The sequence below is a fragment of the Homo sapiens genome, chromosome 7 (genome assembly GCF_000001405.40).
Source record: "Homo sapiens chromosome 7, GRCh38.p14 Primary Assembly".
NCBI classification, from domain to species: Eukaryota; Metazoa; Chordata; class Mammalia; order Primates; family Hominidae; genus Homo; species Homo sapiens.
Window position 1 is genome coordinate 99,144,625 of NC_000007.14, and position 24,785 is coordinate 99,169,409.

The 24,785-nt window shown below is 44.5% G+C and overlaps 1 protein-coding gene across 1 annotated transcript in view, besides 1 other annotated feature; it reads right to left on the reverse strand.

The window, feature by feature from the left end:
* The window catches only part of KPNA7 (karyopherin subunit alpha 7), a 73,616-nt gene continuing 50,010 nt past the window's right edge, over positions 1,180–24,785 (reverse strand). Inside the window, exon 11 of the mRNA XM_017012211.2 lies at positions 1,180–1,692. Within this exon, the coding sequence (XP_016867700.1) occupies positions 1,669–1,692 (24 nt within the window). The 3' untranslated portion in view covers positions 1,180–1,668. The remainder of the gene's footprint in view (positions 1,693–24,785) is intronic.
* Positions 7,028–7,249: a silencer, noted in NCBI's record as "fragment chr7:98749275-98749496 (GRCh37/hg19 assembly coordinates)". NCBI's record gives its function as "represses an EF-1alpha promoter that drives an FKBP-Casp9 reporter gene in an ReSE screen in phorbol 12-myristate 13-acetate-treated (for megakaryocytic differentiation) K562 erythroleukemia cells {active_cell/tissue: K562(+PMA)}" and the evidence as "EXISTENCE:reporter gene assay evidence [ECO:0000049][PMID:32094911]".

Consider the following 24,785-nt stretch of genomic DNA (forward strand, 5'->3'; position numbering starts at 1 on the left):
CATATACGGACAAGGAAAACGAGATGAGAGGGAGGGATAAAGTTGAGAGGCGGATGTTTGTTATTATCCATTCTGCATACAATTTTACCAAACAAGAAAGTGGCATTGTGGTTTGTGTTCCCATGTCTTCTGCTAAATTTCCCCTTCTCCCGGGGTTGCAGGTTAGAACCAAAAGCTCATGGCTGGGTACGGTGGCTGTAGCCTGTAATCCCAGCACTTTGGGAGGCCGAGGCGGGCGGATCACTTGAGCCCAGGACTTTGAGGCCAGCCTGGGCAACATAGGGAGACTCCATCTCTACAAAAAATACAAAAATTAGCTGGGCATGGTGGTGCGCGCCTGTAGTCCCAGGTACTGGGAGGCTGAGGTGGGAGGATCACTTGAGCCCCAGAGTTCATGGCTGCAGTGAGCTATGATCAGGCCACTGCACTACAGCCTGGGTGACAGAGCTAGACACTGTCTCAAAACACACACACACACACACACACACACACACAGAAAAAGCTCATTATGCGCTTTCTCCAGCAAACAAACTCCTCTCTGTTAGCATGTTATAGAAATAAACTGGTATTATTAGAAAGAGGGAAAACTAGGTTTATCAAACTTGTTTTTTACCCACTACCTTGTTGTTGTTGTTGTTGTTTTTTGAGACAGGGTCTCACTCTGTCACCCAGGCTGGAGTGCAGTGGCACGGTCTTGGCTCACTGCAACCTCCACCTCCCAGGTTCAAGTGATTCTCGTGTCTCAGCCTCCTGTATAGCTGGGATTACAGGCGTTAGCCACCACACCCAGCTAATTTTTGTATTTTTGGTAGAGATGGGGTTTCGCTGTTTTGGCCAGGCTGGTCTCAAACTTCTGAGCTCAGGTGATCTGCCCGCTTCAGCCTCCCAAAGTGCTGGGATTTCAGGCCTAAGCCACCGCTCCCAGACCCCACTACCCATTTTCATGTACAAGTTCTTTTTTATTTTTATTTGATTCTTCATCAATCAACTTGAACAAATTCTTTTAATACTGTGTGTGTGTGTGTGTGTGTGTGTGTCCCAAGGAAAGTAGGCTCTGGGCCATTGCTACCATCCCCTGCAGCCTTGTGCCTGTCCTAAGGTCACAGTCTTCGGAACAGAGCCTTCTACCTAGAGCGCCTAGACATACCTGCCTGCCTGCCCGCCTGCCTGCCTGCCTGCCTGCCTCGGATGACCCTAGTGAAAGCAGAGTCTCTCCTGGGCAGGATTCAAGGCATCACATCTGTCAAATAAAAGGATGGTCCTAGGTCATTTCTATGGCACCTTGCGGCTCTTTCAGTTATCCTCAAGAAAGACCCAAGAATATAAGCAATGTTTAAGCAATAGCAGTAGAGCCACAATCCAGCTGTTTCCATTTGTAGATGATTGTCACAGAGAGTGAATGCCTGGGTCTGAATTAATCCATCCAGTCTCTAATGCTCCCAAGTAATCCCCATTCTTCTGCCAATCCCGTTAGTATTTCCCCCCTATTCAAAGAGTCTCCTCTCTAAACAAAACCAGACATCACTCTCTGCTTACCTGGGTGCAGGCTCCTGTTCTTATCCCCAGGTGTTCCTGACCTGGAAACCTTTCATTGCTTAATTTTGTTGTTTTTCTCCCCGCCCCGACGGCTGGTTCTTCGTTGGCTTGACTGTTTCCTTAATCTTTGAGTCAGGAGGTTGCTTCTGGAGGTTTCTGAAAGGCATTTTGTTCATTCATTAACAAGTACAGATGCTCCTTGATGTACAATGGGGTTACATTCTGATAAACCCATAATATGTTGAAAATATGTCAAAAATGCATTTGCGGAGGCCGGGCATGGTGGTTCATGCCTGTAATCCCAGCACTTTAGGAGGCTGAGGTGGGGGGATTACCTGCGAGCAGGAGTTCGAGACCAGCCTGGCTAACATGGTGAAACCCTGTCAACTAAAAATACAAAAGTTAACTGGGTGTGGTGGTGTGCACCTGTAGTCCCAGCTACTCGGGAGGCTGAGGCACAAAAATCACTTAAACTCGGGAGGCAGAGGTTGCAGTGAGGCGAGATTGTGCCACTGCACTTCAGCCTGGGCAATAGAGCGAGACTGTGTCTTAAAAAAAAAAAAAAAAAAAAAAAAAAAAAAAAAAAAACAACGGAAAATGCATTTACTACACCTAAGCTACCAGCCATTATAGCTTAGCCCAGCCTACCTTAAATGTGCACAGAACACTTTCATTACCATACGGTGGGGCAAAATCATCTAACACAAAGCCTATTTTACGATAAAGTTATTATAAAGAATTTTGAATCAAAATTCGAAATTTGAAGTGTGGTTTCTACTGAATGTGTGTCGCTTTCCTACCATAACATCAAAAAATCGTAAGTCAAACCGTCATAAACTGGGACCATTTGAAATTGCTAGATATACCCAATAGTATCTTTCACCACAGCTGCACAAAGGGGACCTTCCTACCTGGAAGCTCATGTTTTACTCATTCGGCAAACATTGGCCACCTGCTATGTGGCTAGGAACAAGGAATACAAAATAAATCTATTACAGCTTCAGCATTCCAGAGGGTCAGTTAACTGGATGAAACAGACATGAGCAACTGACAATGATACAGTGATGGGGATGTGTATAGCAGGCTAGAACATAGATGACAGAACAATTCTACATAAGAAGAGAAATGGAGACATCTCGAGTCACAGATGATCTTAATCTAGAGCTTAAAGCCAACGTTCAAGTTTGCTGGGCAAAGTGGTGAGGAAGGGCATTATAGATAGAAGGAACAGCTGCACAAAGGCATGAACGTGAATGGCATTTTCCAGCACCATTTTCAATAAAAATGTACTTATGGAGCTGCTTGTATACTCTATCCATACAACTTACTCCATTAAAAGTTGATAAAAGTCCGGGCACAGTGGCTCACGCCTGTAATCCCAGCATTTTGGGAGACCAAGGCGGGTGGATCACCTGAGGTCAGGAGTTTGAGACCATCCTGGCCAACATGGTGAAACCCCATCTCTACTAAAAATACAAAAATAACCTGGGTGTAGTGGCAGGCGCCTGTAATCCCAGCTACTCGGGAGGCTGAGGCAGGAGAATCTCTTGAACCCGGGAGGCGGAGGTTGCAGTGAGCTGAGATTGCACTGCTGCCCTCCAGCCTGGGCGATAAGAGCAAGACTCTATCTCAAAAAAAAAAATTTTTTTTTTTGATAAAAGCCTGGGCAACATAACGAGACCCCCATCTCTACAAAAAATTTAAAAATTATCTGGGTGAGGTGGTGCATGTCTGTAGTCCCAGCTACTCAGGAGGCCAAGGTGGGAGGATGGCTTGAGCCCAGTAGCGCAAGGCTGCAGTGAGCTATGATTGTGCCACTGCATTCCAGTCTAGATCACAGAATGAGACCCCATGTCTTTAAAAAAAAAAAAAAAGTTGATTAAAAATAACAAAAAGCATTTGCCCACTTAAAAATCATCAGACGCTATCATATTGAACTTAAGATATATCATCTTCCCTTCCTTTCATCATGTATCACATTCCTCGAAAATACAATCTTCTAAAGCTATCTGGAACAAACAGATGCAAAATGTCAAACAATTCTGCTGAAACAGAGATGGAACTCGGTGAGCCTCCTCAAGTGTCCTCTTTGCAATGGCTTTACACAGAGCAGTTTTGACCCTGCTTTCTAGGTAGCATTTGACTGCTTTTATTTCCCAGAAATGTATCAGTTCCCTGAGTCAGTGTTATTGGGCATTTGAAATATTTTCCAGTGGGCAAATCTGTCTTTGGATCTGACTGCAGTAGTTCTTAACCAGTTTCTGAGTCCCAAACCTCTTTGACAATCTGATGGAAACTCTGGACTCCTTCCTCCAGAAAAATTCATATGTGCAAATACACATCAAAATTTGCCTCTGATTTCAGTGGGTTTATGATCACCTGAAACCAATTTATGAATCCTGTAAGGGCCTGTAGTCCCTAGATTAATAACTCCTTATTTATTCTTTAAAAGAGAGGGTCTCACTCTGTCACCCAGGCTGGAAGGCAGTGCCATCATCATGGCTGACTTCAGCCTCGAACTCCTGGGCTCAAGCAATCCTCCCACCTCAGTCTCCCAAGTACCTGGGACTACAGGCATGTGCCACCAAACATACCTGGCTAAATTTTTTTATTTTTTATACACACAGGGTCTCACTCTGTCGGCCAGGCTAGTCGCCTCAAGTGGTCCTCCTGCTTTAGCCTCCCAAAAGGGCTAAGATTACAGGCATGAGCCACCGCACTCAGCCCAAGAACCGTTTTTTTTTTTTTTTTTTGAGACGGAGTCTTGCAGTGTCGCCCAGGCTGGAGTACAACGGCACCGTCTCGGCTCACAGCAACTTCCACCTCCCAGATTCAAGCGATTCTCCTGCCTCAGCCTTCCGAGTAGCTGGGATTACAAGCGTGCCACATCACACCCAGCTAAGTTTTGTATTTTTAGTAGTTAGTGGAGATGATATTTCACCATGTTGGCCAGACTGGTCTCGAACTCCTGACCTCAAGTGATCCGCCTGCCTCTGCCTCCCAAAGTGCTGTGATTTCAGGCATGAACCACCATGCCTGGCCCCAATAATTTTTTCTAAAGGAAATTATCAAGCAAATGATGTCGAGCATATCCTGCATGTATGTGTTCAGGATCCAGGACAATAACAACCCTTTTGAAAGGTAGCAGGTGTGCTGAAAAGAGGAAGACTATGACCCACGGAGGCCCACACTCTATCCAGCCTCCACCATATCACCAGCCGGTGCTGAAGCAAGATACTAAAATTCTCCAAGCCTTGCTTTGCTTATCTGTAAAATGGAAATAATACTTCTCCCTGAAAGTTATTGGTGAGGCTTAAATCATGAATGTAGATTTAGCATTCCAATACAGCAAGCTCTTGGTAAATGGCAGTTCTTATTAGTATGTGTGTGATTGCCTTGGCTCCAAAAGCTCCTAGTGAAGCTTCTTATCCTGAGAAAATCTGGGATTTTGTGCAGAGGGTCCCTGGTGGGAGTGGACAGTTATAGTGAATGCCTCTTGAGAGCACATTTCTGTTCCTGAGCTGGTGCCTCTGAGGCCAGTGGCCAGATCATATTAACCTTTAAAATCTTCTCTGTCTAGGATCTAGGCTTCTTTTGCTTTTCATCTGAGCATCAAGTTGTTTTTTGTTGTTGTTGTTGTTTTCCAGATGGAGTCTTGCTCTGACACCCAGGCTGGAGTATAGCAGCACGATCTCGGCTCACGTGCAACCTGCAACCTCCGCCTCCTGGGTTCAAGCGATTCTCCTGCCTCAGCCTCCCGAGTAGCTCAGACAGACTGCAGGCACGTGCCACCATGCCCGGCTAATTTTTGTATTTTTAGTAGAGACAGGGTTTCACCATGTTGGCCAGGCTGGTCTCGAACTCCTGACTTCATATGATCCACCTGCCTCAGCCTCCCAAAGTGCTGGGATTACAGGCATGAGCCACCGCACCAGGCCTTTGTTTCTGTTTTTGAGACAGGGTCTTGTTCTGTTGCCCAGGCTGGGGTGCAGTGGTGCAATCATAGTTCAGGGAAGCCTTGATCTCCTCAGCTCAAGCAATCCTCCCACCTCAGCCTCCTGAGTAGCTGAGATTACAGGCGCATGCCACCAAACCTGGCTAATTTTTATATTTTTAGTAGAGACAGGGTTTCACTATGTTGGCCAGACTGGTCTTGAACTCTTGACCTCAAGTGATCTCCCCACCTGGGCCGCCCCCTAAAGTGCTGGGATTACAGGCGCAGTGACATTAAACAAACTGGAAACTTCATGAATCATTCTTCTCTTTTTTTTGAGACGGAGTTTCACTCTTGTTGCCCAGGCTGGAGTGCAATGGCGCGATCTCAGCTCACCACAATCTCCGCCTCCTGGGTTCAAGCGATTCTCCTGCCTCAGCCTCCCGAGTAGTTGGGAATATAGGCATGCACCACTACGCCTGGCTAATTTTTGTATTTTTTAGTAGAGATGGGTTTTCTCCATGTTAGCCAGGCTGGTCTCGAACTCCTGACCTCAAGTGATCCGCCAGCCTCAGCCTCCCAAACTGCTGGGATTACAGGCATGAGCCATCGCGCCCAGCCAGACATTCTTGTACTCATCAAGAAGAATGGGATTTGAGTGCCCAGCTCTTGCAAATATTCACCATAGTTCCTGCTGGCAAGGAGGTGACCCAATTCTCTAGTCGTACAGTTGTGCAGAACCCGTAACCAAATCATTGCCCTATGCATCTGCAGAGTATTTAAATCAAACTCATCCTTCTGCTGAGTCCTGGCGAGGCTCTAATCTTACTTTGATTGTGCAAAAATAAAACCAAGTATGTGGTTCAATGTGACAAAGATTCCCCTACTACCAAGAAAGGGGTGGGGAGCTGTACCTCATTACTTAAATACGTTCACAGAAACAAATTAAATTAATTTGAGGTTTAACGGCATCCGGTTTGTGTGAGGGAGGGATGCTAGGTAATTATTAGTTACTATTCCTGCTTAGTGAACATGACGAAGGTTTTTCAAGGAGAGAGATCTCCAATCCAGGTTCCTGCCCTTTTTTTCTGGTGCCTGCATCGTGCTGATAGCCAACACCGTCTGTGTGTCTGTCTGTTTAGCCTGCATCAATCCTCTATCTGCCTAGGACTTCTCTGAACCTAGTCCTACCTAGGACTTAGTCCATAGAATGGCTTTAAGATTTTGATTTTTTTCTTCCCAGGAACCATATTCTAGAAAGCACAATTTTGTTATTTGTATGCAACTATTAGTAATATTAATTCATTGTTCCTCTCTTTGTACTGTAGAATAGTAAGCAAACTGTTTTGTTTGTTTGTTTTTGGTTTTTTTTTTGAGACAGGGTCTTTCCCTGTTGCCCAGGCTAGAGTGCAGTGGTGCGATCATAGCTCACTGCAGTCTCCACTTCCTGGGCTTGACTGATCCTCCAGCCTCAGGCTCCCAATCCTGAGATCACAGGTGTGCACCATCATGCCTGGCTAATTAAAAAAAAAAATTTTTTTTTCTAGAGACAGGTTCTCCCTATGTTGCCCAGGCTGGTCTCAAACCCATGGGCTCAAGCAGTCCTCCTGCCTCAGCCTCCCAAAGTGCTGGGATTATAGGTGTGAGCCACTGCACCTGGCCACAAACATTAAGAACCTCCTATGTATCAGGCAATGTGGTAACATGCAAGGAATTTTAAAAGATCAACAAGATATAGTCCCTGTATTTTGTGGTTCACTTCTAGTCATGGAGCCCATCACATAAATGCATCATTAAAACAATGTATAGGCTGGGCACGGTGGCTCACGCCTGTAATCCCAGCACTTTGGGAGGCCGAGGCAGGCAGATCTAGAGGTCAGGAGATTGAGATCATCCTGGCTAACACGGTGAAAGCCCATCTCTACTAAAAATACAAAAAATTAGCCGGGCATGGTGGCACACGCCTGTAGTCCCAGCTACTCGGGAAGCTGAGGCAGGAATATCACTTGAACCCAGGAGGCAGAGGTTGTAGTGAGCCGAGATCACACCACTGCACCCCAGCCTGGGCGACAGAGCGAGATTCTGTCTCAGAAAAACAAACAACAACAACAACAAAAATTAGCCAGGCGTGGTGGCAGGTGCCTATAATCCCAGTTACACGGGAGGCTGAGGCAGGAGAATTGCTTGAACCCCAGAGGCAGAAGTTGCCGTGAGACAAGATTGTGCCACTGCACTCCCGACAGAGCGAGAGAGACTCCGTCTCAAAAAAAAAAAGAAAAAGAAAAAAAGGAAAGAAAAAGAAAAAAAAAAGTAAAAATGAGGCAGAAGGGTCCAACTGAACCATCCCTTTCTCTGTGGACATCAATATGCCTTGGATATGGGCATACAAAGGGAAGTGTTTGGCGGGTTCACCAGGATGATATGCGGAAAGTAACTTCATGTTTGGTGTTTTTGCTGCTTATCTAGACAGTTTCTAAAGAGATTTAAAAATTAACAGTGGTTAATTCAGGAACCTTACCAATTTAAATATACTTGGGACGTATCTTTGGTAACTTTATTTCTTGTAAGGCAGCCCCAACCTTTGCTATTTAAAAGGCTTGAGCAGTTCTGTCTCTACAAGCCGCATGTATTTCTGCTGTGAGTTTTCATCTCGGGTTGTCAATTAGAGGTATAATCATTTTAGACATCGCAATCTGCTCAGAGAGCAAGGCCTGTGATGTCTTCTCTGAGTGCAGGATGAGGGCTGCCGTGCCTCTCTTTAATAAGTGAGAGTCCTCAGAATCAAATGGGAAAACAGTTTTATTTTTCACTAAAGAAAGACTGTACTTACTTTAGTTGAATTTATAGATTATGGTTGAATTCTCAATTCATTGACAAAAATTAAGGTTTAAATGTTAATTGTGACAAGCCACCATGCATCGGAATGGAATATTTTTATAATAACGGGCTGGTCTTAGGAGAATGCTTACCTCGCAAACGGGGTGAGGATTGTAGGATGTTTCATGGAATCTGTTGGACTAACACATCTTTCCCCGAAGGAGTTTCTGCTCCTTAAATGCAATCCTTTGCAGAATAATTTTTATGTAAGTGGGAGGAGAAAGGAAGTGAGTGGGGGTTGGTACCAACAGTGAATGACTTTAAAAAGATATAAACCTACCGTTGCTTAGAATATGGTATTTGGGGCTGGACACAGTGGCTCATGCCTGTAATCCCAACACTTTAAGAGGCCGAGGCGGACAGATCACCTGAGATCAGGAGTTCAAGACCAGCCTGGCCAACATGGCGAAACCCCATCTCTACAAAGATACAAAAAATTAGTCAGGCATGTGCCTGTAATCCCAGCTACTCAGGAGGCTGAGGCAGGAGAATCACTTGAACCCAGGAGGCAGAGGTTGCAGTGAGCCAAGATTGTACCATTGCACTCCAGCCCAGGTGACAGAGCGAGACACTGTCTCAAAAAAAAAAAAAAAAGATCGTTCTTGATCTTTGAGCAAACCTGCAAGTGTCCAAAAACAGACTTTGGTTTCCTTCGTATATTTACTGAATGGAATGCATAGATAGTGACCAGAACTTTATAAATAATAAAGGTTCCAGATGGGTGCAGTGGCTCATGCCTGTAATCCCAGCACTTTATGGGGCCAAGGTGAAAGGACTGCTTGAGCCCAGGAATTCAAGACCAGCCTGGGCACCATAGCAAGACCTCATCTCTACAAAAAAAATAAAAATAAAAATCAGCCAGGTGTGGTGGCTCGTGCCTGTAGTCCCTGCTATTTGGGAGGCTGAGGTGGGAGGATCATTTGAGCCCAGGAGATCAAGTGTGATCATATCACACTACTGCACTTCAGCCTGGGTGACAGAGAGTCTCTAAAAAAAAGAAAAAAAAGTTTCCATAATTTTTAATAATTGTTATGATCCCCTCCCCCTCCCAAAAAACACTTTAAATGTTTTCTAAATAATCACACTTCTGAAAGACAAGTAAATCAGGGATACAGAATATTTTTCCCATTAATGATTCACCAAAATGAGAATAGCTCACACACTTTTTTTTTTTTTTTTGAGACAGAGTCTCTGTCACCCAGGCTGGAGTGCAGTGGCATGATCTCAGCTCACTGCAACCTCTGCCTTCTGGGTTAAAGTGATTCTCATGCCTCAGCCTCCCGAGTAGCTAGGACTACAGGTGCCCGCCACCACACCTGGCTAATTTATGTATTTTTAGTAGAGATGGGGTTTCACCATGTTGACCAGGCTGGTCTTGAACTCTTGACCTCAAGCAATCCGCCCACCTTGGCCTCCCAAAGTGCTGGGATTACATGTGTAAGCCACCACACCTGGCAAAAATGCTTTTTTATTACAGGTAACTCCCAGGTCATTTATCAGAATTTCAGGTCATTTATCAGACTTTCACTGTATGTAGTTATGCTTCAGAAACTTAGGTCTTTTTTTTTTTTTTCTCAAGACGGAGTCTCGCTCTGTCGCCCAGGCTGGAGTGCAATGGCACAATCTCGGCTCACTGTGACCTCCACCTCCAAGCGATTCTCCTGCCTCAGCCTCCTGAGTAGCTGGGATTACAGATGAGTGCCACCACGCCCGGCTAATTTTTTTTTTCGTATTTTTAGTAGACAGGGTTTTACCATGTTGTCCAAGCTGGTCTCGATCTCCTGACCTCATGAACCGCCCACCTCAACCTCTGAAAGTGCTGGGATTACAGGCGTGAGTCTTGAATCTATGTTCATGTAATATACACCATGAAATTACACAGTTTTAATGTATTTGAGGTTTTCCTAAATTTTAAATCACTAAAAAGCTACCAATGACAAAATTGACACACCCCCTCAATTCTATCTCCTAGTCAGAAGTCAGCAGTTTGGTGAACATGCTTCCAGAATTATTTTCTATACCTATACTAACACATATATACTTTTTATAAAAGTTTATATATATGTGTATATTATATATATGTATAGACATATGCACATATATTTATTGATTCACCAATTTAGGACATTATCTGTTGGCTCTTCATTTATGAAAGATGAGGAGTTAGGTGACTAACACTTCCCTCTTCCTGCCTCCATTTTTATAGTTACTATTTTCAGTTCTTCTATTTCTACTTTTAAATATTTTTTTGAACCTGTGTTTCCTATCAGCTTGTAGCTTATGATCCCCTCCATGTTAGACAAAGATATTGGCACTGAACCATCTGTTCCAGTCTATACTCCCACCTTCATCCTTCTCAGCTGAACACTGACAATATCAAGGATGACAATGGTCACATTCTCTTTTGTGTGCATTGCTGACTTCCCTGTTTTGTCTGTTGATTCTATAAATGGATTGTTTCAGAATCAAGGTCAAAATCACACCACATTTCAGTTGGCTATGTTTGGACCTGGAGTTTTCTTACACATTTTTTTTTCTTGTTTCCTCATTGCCTTATCTTCCTTTTACTGATGGAAGAAACAGATTTATGGGGTTGTTCTTGGTTTTGAGATAGGATCTCGCTCTGTTGCCCAGGCTGGAGTGCAGTGGCATGATCACAGCTCACTGCAGCCTCAAATTCCTGGGCTCAAATGATCCTCCCACCTCAGCCTCCTGAGTAGCTGGAACTAACAGTGCATGCCACCACACTAATTTTTTTTTTTTTTGTATTTTTTATAGAGATGGGTTTTCATCATATTGCCCAGGCTGGTCTCAACCTCCTGGGCTCCAGCAGTCTGCCTGTCTTGGCCTCCCAAAGTGCTGGGATTACAGACATGAGTTACTGTGCCCAGCTCAGATTTATGTTTTGTCATTAGTATCATCTGGCATCTTAGCCATTCTGTCTACTACTTGGAATCAATTTCATCCTTCCAACAAGAACGAATCAACTTCATTCTTCTTGTTGAAGATAGTCTACCTGGAGCTCGCTGCCTGTCTGTTCTAATATGGAAAAAACAGGCTTCCAGGTTTGCTGTTCAATTCTCATCTCGGGATTGTTTTTCAGTGGACTTCTGGGTTGGTTTCATCATTTCTTGTATATTTCTCTTTTTGGGAGGTGGGGTATATAATTTACTTCCTTTCTTGATGGAGTACATTCTCAAGTAACTTCCTTAGTACTTGAAATGTAATCTTTCTGAGTTTATATCTGAAAATATGATGTCTTATATGGCTATGTGGTTCTAAATAATTTATGATTCTAAATTTATGGTTATAATTTTCCCTCAGAACTTGGAATTTTTCTATCATTCAGAGTCCACAAAGAGAAATCTGATGCCAGTCTGATTCTCATTCTTTTATAGGTAATCTATTTTTTGTTTCTGGAAAGAGTCTTCTGTTTATTCTTGGTATTCTGAAATTTCACCGCATTGAATCCAGGGATTGATCTTTTATTTATTTATTCTGCTTGGCATTCAATGAACCCTTTCAGCCTAGAGATTTACTTTCTTCAATTCTGATACTTTTTTTTTGTTTGAGACAGAGTTTTGCCCTTGTCACCCAGGCTGGAATGCAATGGCACAATTTTAGCTCACTGCAACCTCCGCCTCCCAGGTTCAAGTGATTCTCCTGCCTCAGCCTCCAAAGTAGCTGGGATTATAGGTGCCCACCACCACACCCAGAAAATTTTTGTATTTTTAATAGAGACAGGGTTTCCTCATGTTGGCCAAGCTGGTCTCAAACTCCTGACTTCAAATGATCCACCCCCCTTGGCCTCCCACAGTGCTGGGATTACAGGCATGAGCCAACATGCCTGGCCTCAATTCTGATAAATTTTCTTCTAGGGTTTCTTTGTTAATGTCTTTCCCTATATTTTCTCTTTTGTCTTTTTCTAGAACTTCAGTTACTCAGATGGTAAGCCTCCTGAATTGACTTTTTTTCTTCTCCCCAAACTTTCATCTCTTTGTAACTTTCTGGTCTATATTCTGAAAGATTTATCTTCAAACCTTTCTCTTGAATTTTTGTTCTGGTAATCATTTAATTTCTGAGAGTGTTCCTTTTTCATGGCATCTTTTTGTTTTATGGCCACAGAATCTTCTCAAATCTGTTGAGAATATAAATTAGAGGATGTTGGTTTTAATTCCCCCCGATTCTGACTGTTTCTTCTGGGAAATGGTTGTTTTGTTCATTTGCCTTTTTCTTTTCCATGATGCCAATTTTCTTGACAGAGTTTTGCTCTTGTTGCCCAGGCTGGAGTGCAATGGCTCAATCTTGGCTGACTGCAACCTCCACCTCCCAGGTTCAAGCGATTCTCCTGCCTCAGTCTCCTGAGTAGCTGAGATTACAGGCATGCGCCACCACACCCGGCTAATTTTGTATTTTTAGTAGAAACAGGGTTTCTCCATGTTAGTCAGGCTGGTCTTGAACTCCCAACCTCAGGTGATCCACCTGCCTTGGCCTCTCAAAGTGTTGGGATTACAGGCATGAGCCACTGCGCCCAGCCCCGATTTTCTTCTTGTGTCTGATCTTTTGTATTTGAGAATGGGAGCCCAGGTTGATTTTTCAGGACAACTCATTTAGATTTCTTCTATACATCTGTGTATTCCTGTTAGATTTCTTCTATACATCTGTGTATTCCTGTTAGATTTCCCCTATGAATAGATTAGCTAACTGAATGCCCTATGGATGTGATTCTAAAATTTCTTGTCAGGTAAGAACGCAAGCCATTGTGATTCTTGATCTTTCATATATGACTTCTTTTTACACTCTAGATGTAACTTTTGTTTTTTGATACAGGGTCTCACTGTCACCCAGGCTGGAGTGCAGTGGTGTGATCACAGCTCACTGCAGCCTCGACCTCCTGGACTTAAGCAATCCTCCCACCTCAGCCTCCTGAGTAGCTGAGACTACAGGCAGGTGCTACCACACCTGGCTAATTTTTTTTTGATTTTTTGTAGAGATGGGTCTCCTTATGTTGCCCACACTGGTCTTGAACTCCTGGCCTCCTGAGTAGCTGGGACTACAGGTACATGCCACCACATTTGGCTAATTTTTTACTTTTATAGAGATGAGTCTCCTTATGTTGCCCACGCTGGTCTGGTACTCCTGGCCTCAAGCGATCCTCCCACCTCAGCCTCCCAAAGTGCTGGGATTACAGGAATGAGCCACCACACCCAACTGGATCTTTTTTTTAATCAGTTTTAAATTTTCACAATGATATGCTTTGGCATAAATCAGCTTTCATCCATTTTTCTGGGCTATTCACTGGATCCTTTAAACTGGATCAGTTTTCTTCTGTTTGGGGAAATGGTATTATCTGATAATTTTCTTTCCTCTATGTTTTTTTTCTCCACTTCTAGAACTCCTCTATTCAGATTTCAGACCTCCAGTTCTGGACTTTATATAATTTGATCTTTTCTATTTTTGCAATTTTGCTCTACTTTATGGGAAATATCCTCAATTTCATCTTCCAATTCTGTTTTCATTTGTACTATCTTTTTATTATTATTATTATTTTAGATGGAGTCTCACTCTGTCGCCCAGGCTGGAGTGCAGTGGCACGATCTCGGCTCACTGTAACCTGCACCTCCTGAGTTCAAGCGATTCTCATGCCTCACCCTCCTGAGTAGCTGGGACTGTAGGTGTGCACCACCATGCCCAGCTAATTTTTGTATTTTTAGTAAAGACAGGGCTTCACCAAGTTGGCCAGGCTTGTCTCGAACTCCTGACTTCAAGTGATCCCCAACTCGGCCTCCCAAAGTGCTGGGATTACAGGTGTGAGCTACCACACTCAGCCCAGTTCTACTATCATTTCTAATTTCCAATAATCCTTTTTGTTCTTGGAATGTACATAAACAGCATCTTTTTTTTTTCTTTTGAGAGGGAGTCTAGCTCTGTCACCCAGACTGGAGTGTAGCGGTACAATCTTGGCTTACTGCAACCTCCGCCTCCTGGGTTCAAGCGATTTTCCTGTCTCAGCCTCCCGAGTAGTTGGGACTACAGGTGCACACCACGACGCCCGGCTAACTTGTGTATTTTTAGTAGAGACGGGGTTTCACCATGTTGGTCAGGCTGGTCTTGAACTCCTGACCTTAGGTGATCTGCCCGCCTCAGGCTCCCAAAGCACTGGGATTACATGCGTGAGCCACCATGCCCGACAACATCCTATGTTTTGCTTCATAAAAGCAATGTCATTAGCCAGGCATGGTAGTGCATGCCTGTAGTCCCAGCTACTTGGGAGGCTGAGGTGGAAGGATTCCTTGAGCCCCAGGAGTTCAAGGCTGTACTGAGCTATGATAGTGCTACTTCACTCCAGCCTGGGTGACACAGGGAGACACTGTCTCAAAAAAAAAAAAAAAAAAAAAAAAAGGAATAAACTTCCAGTTCGCTGCCAGGTGGGGCAGGGGGCAGTTGGTCAGCTTCATGGAATAGGGGGATGTAACAGCTTTTTGTCTTTCCAACTTTACATTATGGAGAACTTCAACCACCCACAGAAAGAATAGAACAGAACTCCCCATGGACCTATCACCAGCCCTGGTAACCATGATCACATTGCCAATTCCACCCCATGTGTGTATCTGTCACTTCCCTCTTCCCGTATTACTTTGAAACAAATTCCAAACATCACATCACTTCATCTATGATCATTCCGATTTCTCTAAAAGGACTTTATTTCTAATTAACATAGCCCCAATATGATGATTAAACCAAAACAGCCAATCATTCTTTATCATCAAACCTCCATTCAATGCTCAAGTTTCCAATTGTCTCATAAATGTCATATGTGTTTTATTTTCTCAATTGTTTGGTGGTATCAGAATACAAATGAGGCCCACTCTGGTTAGTCAATACGTCATTTAAGTCTAAATTTATAAGTTCCCCCCAAGCAATTTTTTAGTTGGAATTTATTAAGAGAAGGAAAGAAGTAGCTTGTCTGCAGGATTTCTCATGGTCTGGAGTCTGCTGCTTGCTTTTCTGAAGTGTAGCTTAGTGTTTCTCCTCTGTTGTTTTTGTTTTTTTTTTTTTTTTTTTTTTTTTGAGACAGTGTCTCGCTCTGTTGCCCAGGTTGGAGTGCAGTGGTACGATCCTGGCTCACTGCAAGCTCCGCCTCCCAGGTTCACGTCATTCTCCTGCCTCAGCCTCCTGAGTAGCTGGGACTACAGGTGCCCGCCACCATGCTAGGCTAATTTTTTTTGTATTTTTAGTAGAGACGGGGTTTCACCGTGTTAGCCAGGATGGTCTCAATCTCCTGACCTCGTGATCCGCCCGCCTCGGCCTCCCAAAGTGCTGGGATTACAGGCGTGAGCCACGCACCCGGCCTCTCCTCTGTCTTTTGTATTTCTTATAAATTGGTAGTTGCATCTAGGGGTTTAATTGCAGCTTCCTATTGTTTTATATTCAACTTCATGGATTCTTTCCTGTCTCCTCCATTCTGCTGTTAAGCCCATCCAGTAAATTTTATTTATTTTAGGGACAGGGTCTCGCTATGTTGCCCAGGTGGGTTTTGAACTCCTAGGCTCAAGCAATCCTCCTGCCTTGGCCTCCCAAAGTGCTGGGATTCAGGTTTGAGTCACTGCACCCAGCCATCATCCAGTAAATTTTAAATTCCAGTTATAGTATTTGTCAGTTCTAACACTTACATTTGATTCTCTTCTATTTCTTTGCTGAGACTTCAGTGGCCCTAGGTTATCATTTAAATGATGTCTTTTCAAATGAGAACAAATGATCCACTCCAGGGTGGAGTGGATGAGTAGGGAAGCCAGCCTCCAAGATGGTTCCCAATGACCTCTGTCTTCTGGTCTTCACACCTCTGCATAGCTCCTCCCACATCCTACAAGGTTATCGTATAGCAGAGTGATTGTATGCCACCTTTTTTTTTTGAGACAGAGTCTTTCTCTGTCACCCAGACTGGAGTGCAGTCACATGATGTCAGCTCACTGCAACCTCCCAGGTTCAAGCTATCCTCCTGCCTCAGCCTCCCGAGTAGCTGGGACTACAGGCATGTGCCACCACACCTGGCTTATTTTCGTATATTTTAGTAAAGACAGGGTTTCACCATGTTTACCAGGTTGGTCTCGAGCTCCTAACCTCAAGTGACGTGCTCACCTCAGCCTCTCAAAGTTCTGGGATTACAGGCGTGAGCCACCATGCCTTCTAAGATTAGGTTATAAAGGACCATGGCTTCTGTCTTGGGGATTCTGTCTCCCATGTACACAAACTCTCTCTCTCTCTCTCTCTCTCTCTCTCTCTCTCTCTCTCTCTCTCTGATCACTTGCTCTGGGAGAAGCAAACTTCCCTGTTATTGGAGATTCAGGAAGCCCAAGGGAAAGCCTGTGTAGCGTAGAACTGAAATATCCAGCCATCAGCCACTGAAGAACTGAAACCCTCTAACTACCACATACTACCATTGTAAGTAGGTCCTCTCCCAGTTGAGTCTTCAAATGAGACCACAATTCTGGCTGACAGCTTAAGTCCAACCTCATAAAAGACCTTGAGAGCCAGAACCATCTAAATTGTCCCCCAGATTCTTGCCTTACAGAAACTCTGTATAATAATTTTTTTAAGCTGTTAAGTTTCTGGGAAATTTGTTATATAGCAAGTAACTAATTCATGAGGCTTTGAATTAGTTATTAGTGATTCCCTGTCTGCCACTTACTGAAAGATGAAGGGCAAGTTGGCTAACCTTATGAGCTCCAGTTTACTTGGAAATTGAGGATAACCATTTTTGCATCGCCTTGTTTGACACTTGAACCCCTTCTTTTACAGATGAAAAAAACTGAAGCCCAAAGGAATTGACAGAAAAGAATCCACAAATGAGGCACTTAACAGTGAAATTACATGACATGTCCAGGCTTAGGCTATTTAGAAAAAGAGTAGAACTGACCCCAGGGCTCATGGCTCCAAGTTATTCTTTTATGCCTTAAAGCAAACTGTGCTGCCTTATAATGCATGCCATTATCATTAACACAGTCCATGTTTCAGGAAAAAACAGCAGATAAGTTACGCAGTGTGCATGGCTAACCAAGATTGCAATTTTTTTTTTTTTTTTTTTTTTTTTGAGATTGAGTTTTGCTCTTGTTGCCCAGGCTGGAGTGCAGTGGTGCAATCTCAGCTCACTACAACCTCCACCTCCTGGGTTCAAGTGATTCTCCAACCTTGCCTCCCGAGTAACTGGGATTACAGGCATGTGCCACCATACCCAGCTAATTTTGTATTTTTAGCAGAGACAGGGTCTCACTATGTTGGCCAGGCTGGTCTTGAACTCCTGACCTCAGGTGATCTACCTGCCTTGGCCTCCCAAAGTGCTGGGATTACAGGCATGAGCCACCATGCCCAGCTGAGAATTGCATTCTTTGAGGTACATTACAATTTCTGGGCAAATGCAAAAGGTCAAAGTTGTTCCAGTTCAGTGTTCACACCGTAAACCAACCTATAGCCATTCACACCTTCCTTCCTCTTTGTTGCCTCACCAGTCGTCCCAACTCCCCGAGTCTAAGCAGGTGGGCACCCAGCCAGAAGGTGACTAACACCATCTCTTTGCACCCAGACCATATACCAAAGGCAAATTGCTCCTTTTTTTAAACCTTGCTAGGCAAGTCAGTATTAGTATCTTCAAACTACAAAGGCTGCTTTGTCATGCAAAGAGAAGGAAAAAAAGAGGTTGACAGTATTTTGAGCCAACAAGGTTAGATCACTCGGACAACAGTGACTAAGCTCAACAGGGCTTCCAGCTCTTTTAATTAAAAAAATTTTTTCTCAAAGACCTATCTTTGTAAACCATCTCACCTTTCCACCTCCCTTCAACTACAATCTACGAATAGGGGGAAAAATGCTTTAAGATGTTGAAAAAGAATCTGTATTCCAATCAGATTCTTTGAAAAAAAGTATATGTAAGGCTGGACACGGTAGCTCACGCCTGTAATCCCAACACTTTGGGAGGCTGACACAGGCAGATCAACTGAGGTCGGGAGTTCAAGACCAGCCTGATCAACATGGAGAAACCCTAGCTCTACTAAAAATACAAAAATTAGCTGGATGTGGTGGCACACTCCTATAATCCCAGCTACTCGGGAAGCTGAGGCAGGAGGATCACTTGAACCTGGGAGGCGGAGGTTGCAGTGAGCCGAGACTGCGTGACTGCACTCCAGCCTGGGCAGCAAGAGCAAAACTCTGCCTCAGAAAAAAAAAAGTGTATGTAAATTCAACCTAGAAAAGAAATGCAAACAAAAATTATTGTATTGAAGTCATAGGACCATTTTTTCAATATGTTTTTTCAATTACAAATATATTAAATTTGTAATATATTTATATATAATATACATATTTTATATATGCACTATAAATATGAGTGTGTGTATATATATATATATATATATATATTTTTTTTTTTTTTTTTTTTTTTGAGACAGGGTCTCACTTTGTTGCCCAGGCTGGAGTGCAGTGGTGCAATTGTAGCTCACTGTAACCTTGAACTCCTGGGTTCAAGTGGCCCTTCTACCTCAGCCTCCTGAGTAGCTGGGGCTACAGATCCTCACTACCATGCCCAGCTAATTTTTTATTTTTATAGAGATGGAGTCATGCTGTGTTGCCCAGGCTGGTCTTGAACTCATGGCCTCAAGTGATTCTCCCACCTCAGCCTCCCAAAGTGCTGGGATTATAGGTATAAGCCACCACGCCTGGCCTAGTGTGTATTTTATATATAACAAATATTACCTATTTAACATTATTTAATGTAAAAATTCAAATGTTATATACTGTCTCTATTTTGACAGAATGGGACTTAATCTTTTGGATTTAAATAATGTCTCGAGTTACGGTATCATTTTCTACTCCTCATGGGCATCACTTAAGATCCCTCAGTCTCAAGCAACAGGAACCTACTCTGGCTACTTAAAAAGAATTTCTCGAAAATGCAAATCAAAACCACAATGAGATACCATCTCACACCAGTTAGAATGGTGATCATTAAAAAGTCAGGAAACAATAGGTGCTAGAGAGGATGTGGAGAAATAGGAACACTTTTACACTGTTGGTGGTACTGTAAACTAGTTCAACCATTGTGGAAGTCAGTGTGGTGATTCCTCAGGGATCTAGAACTGGAAATACCATTTGACCCAGCCATCCCATTACTGGGTATATACCCAAAGGATTATAAATCATGCTGCTATAAAGACACATGCACATGTATGTTTATTGCGGCACTATTCACAATAGCAAAGACTTGGAACCAACCCAAATGTCCAACAATGATAGACTGGATTAAGAAAATGTGGCACATATACACCATGGAATACTATGCAGCCATAAAAAATGAAGAGTTCATGTCCTTTGTAGGGACATGGATGAAACTAGAAACCATCATTCTCAGCAAACTATGGCAAGGACAAAAAACCAAACACCTCATGTTCTCACTCATAGGTGGGAATTGAACAATGAGAACACATGGACACAGGAAGGGGAACATCACACTCCGGGGACTGTTGTGGGGTAGGGGTAGGGGGAGGGATAGCATTAGGAGGTATACCTAATGTAAATGACGAGTTAATGGGTGCAGCACACCATGGCACATGTATACATATGTAACTAACCTGCACATTGTGCACATGTACCCTAAAACTTAAAGAATTTAAAAAAAAAAAAAATTTCTCGAAAGAGTATGGGAGAGCACCTAAGACCAAAAAGGAGGCCTGGAGAGGCAGGATGCAGGTAGCCACTGGAAACATCCACAGCAGGGCTTGCCACTGGAGTCATCAAAGACACATGAGCTATTTCTTCTGTCCCCAGCCCCTGGGTTTAAGATTCAAAGTCTCAGACCGGGTGTGGTGGCTCACGCCTGTAATCCCAGCACTTTGGGAGGCCGAGGCAGGAGGATCACCTGAGGTCAGAAGTTTTGAGACCAGCCTGGTCAACATGGCAAAACCCCGTCTGCTAAAAATACAAAAAGTAGCCGGGTATGGCAGTACCCGCCTGTAGTCCCAGCTACTAGGGAGGCCGAGCATGGTGGCATGTGCCTGTAATCCCAGCTACTCAGGAGGCTGAGGCAGGAGGATCACTTGAGCCTAGGAGGCAGAGGTTGCAGTGAGCCGAGATCATGCCACTGCACTCCAGCCTGGGCGACAGAACACGACTTTGTCTCAAAAAATAAAAATAAAATAAAATCTGCAGCTCTGATCATTGGGATCACTTGTTGGAATGGCCGGGTTCCTGTGCAGTCACCTAGCAGATGTCTACCAATGACAGGCCCTACTCACAGCCACTGCACTCCAGCTTGGGCGACAGAGCGAGGCCTTGCCTTTTTAAAAAAAAAAAAAAAGGCTCAGAGAAAGAGTATGCTTGGCCAAAGATCTGCCACCTAGGGCATCCTGAGCTGAGGAGGAAAGAGGGTACAGAGTCTCCCAGTTGCCCCCATCTCCATATGGGATGGCACAGCCCCTCGAGGAGCACCCCACCCTCAGCATAGCTCTCAGCAGTGGACAGATAATCACTGCAGAAGGAGATGAAGATACTGATTGCAGGCCCCAATGTCCACTAAATCATAGACTTGCTGTCATCACTAAATGAGAAGTTGGTGCAGGTGAACTGTCTTCCAGCAGTATTTTAGACTAACACCCAAACACCGTTTCTCTTCATTTATCAAAGGCCACCAAAGACCTGCTTTGGGCATGATGTTTTGGTGTGACACTTCTGAGCCAAAATTTAGCTTAATCTCTACACTCAACTTGTACAGATCAAGCCCAATCCCTTTGAGACAGAGTCTTGCTATGTTGTCCAGGCTGGACTTGAACTCCTGGGCTCAAGGGATCCTCCAGCTTCAGCTTCTCAGGTAACTGGGTGATAGGGTTTCGATTTGTGTCTCTGACCAAATCTCATGTCAAATAGTAATCCCCAACGTTGGGGGTGGGGCCTGGTAGGAGGTGATTGGATCATGGAGGCAGATTTCCCCCTTGCTGTTCTTGTCATAGTGGGTTCTCATGAGATCTGGTTGTTTAAAAGTGTGCAGCACCTCCCCCTTCTCTCTCTTCCTTCTGCTCTGGCCATGTAAGACGTGCCTGCCTCCCCTTCACCTTCTGCCATGATTGAAAATTTCCTGAGGCCTTCCCAGCCATGCTTCCTGTGCAGCCTACAGAATCATGAGCCAATTAAACATCTTTTCTTTATAAACCACCCAGACTCAGGTATTTATTTATAGCAATGCCAAAACAGACTAATACACTGGGATTACAGGTACACATCAGCATGCCCAGTTTAATCCCTCTTTCAACATCTCCTATCCATGACCACACTGCCTAGCACCTACTATGTTTCTAGGTCCTTTCCTTCCTCGTTACTTTTTTTGAGATGGTCTCCGTCATCCAGGCTGCAGTGCAGTGACGTGATCCCGGCTTGCTGCAACCCTGCCCCCCACGTTCAAGTGATTTTCCAGCATTAGCCTCCTGAGTAGCTGGGATTACAGGTGTGCACCACCATGCTCAGCTAATTTTTGTATTTTTAGTAGAGATGGGGTTTCACCATGTTGGCCAGGCTGGTCTGGAGCTCCTGACCTTAAGTGATCCACCTGCCTCAGGCTCCCAAACTGCTGGGATTACAGGTGTGAGCCACCGTGCCCGGCCTTTCTATTTTATTTATTTTTTTTGAGATGAAGTTTCACCCTGTTGCCCAGGCTGGAGTGCAATGGCATAATCTTGGCTGACTGCAAGGTCTGCCTCCCAGGTTCAAGTGATTCTCCTACCTCACCCTCCCAAGTAGCTGGGATTACAGGCATGTGCCACCACGCCCAGCTAATTTTTTGTATCTTTAGTAGAGACAAGGTTTCACCATGTCGGCCAGGCTGGTCTCAAACTCCTGACCTCGTGATCCACCACCTCGACCTCCCAAAGTGCTGGGATTACAGGCGTAAGCCACCATGCCCAGTCTAGTTACTCCCCTTTTGACCACTGCCCACACAGCTTTTTCTGAAGAATGTTCTGCATTCACAGGTGTTATATGAAAAGTGAAGGGGACCAAATGTCACATGTGTTTGGGAGATTCCCATAATATTTAGAATAAAATTCAAAGTCTGCATCTAAGCTTACAAGGCTCCCTGATATGACGCTCTCCAACCTCAGCCTCTCATACCCCAACTCCACCTCGCTCCAGCCACGGAGCCTGCTGTTCACACACCTGGAGCCAGCTCCCACCTCTGTGCCCTGGCCCCACTGTCTCCTCTGCCTGGGATGCCTTTCCCGGAGATCTACCAGACTACCTTCTTCACCTCCTTCAGGGCCAGCCTTGCCTTAGCACAGCAGTCTCTAATCCCTAGACCAGTCCGTAGCCTGATAGGAACCGGGCCACCCAGCAGGAGGTGAGCAGCAGGTGAGCGAAGCTGAGCTCCGCCTCCTGTCAGATCAGTGGCAGCATTAGATTCCCATAGGAGAGAGAACCCTATTGTGAACTGTACATGCAAGGGATCTAGACTGCATACTCCTCAGAATTTTTCAGATAGGGTCAAAAAAAGCTGGAGTATACTGGCGCAACCTTGGCTCACTGCAACCTCCACCTCCCGGGTTCAAGCAATTCTCCTGCCTCAGCCTAAGTAGCTGGGACTACAAGCTGATGCCATCACACCCAACTTTTTTTTTTTTTTTTTTTTTTTTTTTTTTTTTTTTTTTGCATTTTTAGTAGAGACAGGGTTTCACCATGTTGGCCAGGCTGGTCTCGAATTCCTGACCTCAGGTGATCCGCCCACCTTGGCCTCCCAAAGTGCTAGGATTACAGTCATGAGCCACTGTGCCTGGCCTCCTTATGAGAATCTAATGCCTGATGATCTGTCACTATCTCCCATCACCTCCAGATGGGACCACCTAGTTGCAGGAAAACAAGCTCAGGGCTCCCACTGATTCTACATGATGGTGAGTTATAGAATTGTTTCATTATCCATTACAATGTGATAATAAAGTACACAATAAGTGGAATGTGCTTGAATTATCCCCAAACCATTCCCCCACCCCCACACCCCTCTATCCGTAGAAAAATTGCCTTCCACAAAACCAGTCCGTGGTGTCCAAAAGGGAACCACTGCCTTGGCACCAAGTCTAAAACAACACTCTTGGCATGTTTTCTTATCCTGCTTTTTCTTCCTGGAACTTGACTTACCTTACATTGGTTTATTGTCTGTTTCCCTAACTAGAATCTAAACCTCTTGAGGGCAGGAACTTCATCTGCTTTAGCATTTGCCTCTCAAATGCCCCTGGGAAGCTGGTTAAACACATTGATACTTAGGTCCTACCCCCCAGAGTCTGTTTGAAGTGCAAGAATTCTGCATTTTTGCCATGTTGTTGGATGGTTCTCAGACAAGTGGCCATAGCCAGCACTCTGAGGGATGTGGGAATAGGGGGGTTAGTATCCCCAACAGAGCAAAACCCCCCTCCCCTCCCACATACACAAAACATGTGCTTCCAGACCAGAAGGGTAAATCCTGGCCCTGCTCTTACTTGGTGTTCATCTTTACCGCTTTGGGACTTGTTTCCTTATTTTTTCTTTTTTAAGAGATAGGGTCTGGCTCTGTCCCCCAGGCTGGGGTGTGGTGGCAGGATCATGGCTCACAGCTGCCTCAACCTCCTGGGCTCAAGTGATCCTCCCACCTCAGGCTCCCAAGCAGCTAGGGACTGCCCCATCCAGCTAATTTTTTTAAATTTGTAGAGATGGGATCTTGCTATGATGCCTAGGCTGGTCTCAAACTCCTGGCCTCAAACGATTCTTCCACCTCGGTCTCCTGAGTAGCTGGGACCACAGGTGCACACCACTACACCCGGCTGTGTTTCCTTACCTTTGACATGGAGGCACCGCCACCCACTTCAAAGAACTTTAAAGTACATCTAGCCCTTGACATTAGTTTCCTTCCAATCCTGAACTCTCCATTAATGTAACCACGGTGGCTCACACCTGTAATCCCAGCACTTTGGAGGCCAAGCCAAGGTGGGTGGATCACAAGGTCAAGAGATTGAGACCATCCTGGCCAACATGGTGAAACCCCATCTCTACCAAAAATACAAAAATTACCTGGCCGTGGTGGCACACGCCTGTAATCCTAGCTACCCGGGAGGCGGCGGTTGCAGTGAGCTGAGATCGCGCCACTTCACTCCAGCCTGGCGACAGAGAGACTCCCTGTCTCAAATAAATAATTTTTTAAAATAATGTAAACTGAAACAATTTTATTGGAATTTTAGCCCCCAGGCTGAAAGCTTGGCAGGTCCCTGAGAAGGTAGGTGTAAGGACTCTGGACTTGGGGAGGACAGCATCTGAGGGAGCAAAACTGAGAAAAATGAGTATTTTGCTTACTGAACAACCTGACCTTGGCTGGGTACAGTGGCTCACGCCTGTAATCCCAACACTTTGGGAGGCCGAGGTGGGCAGATCACTTGAGGTC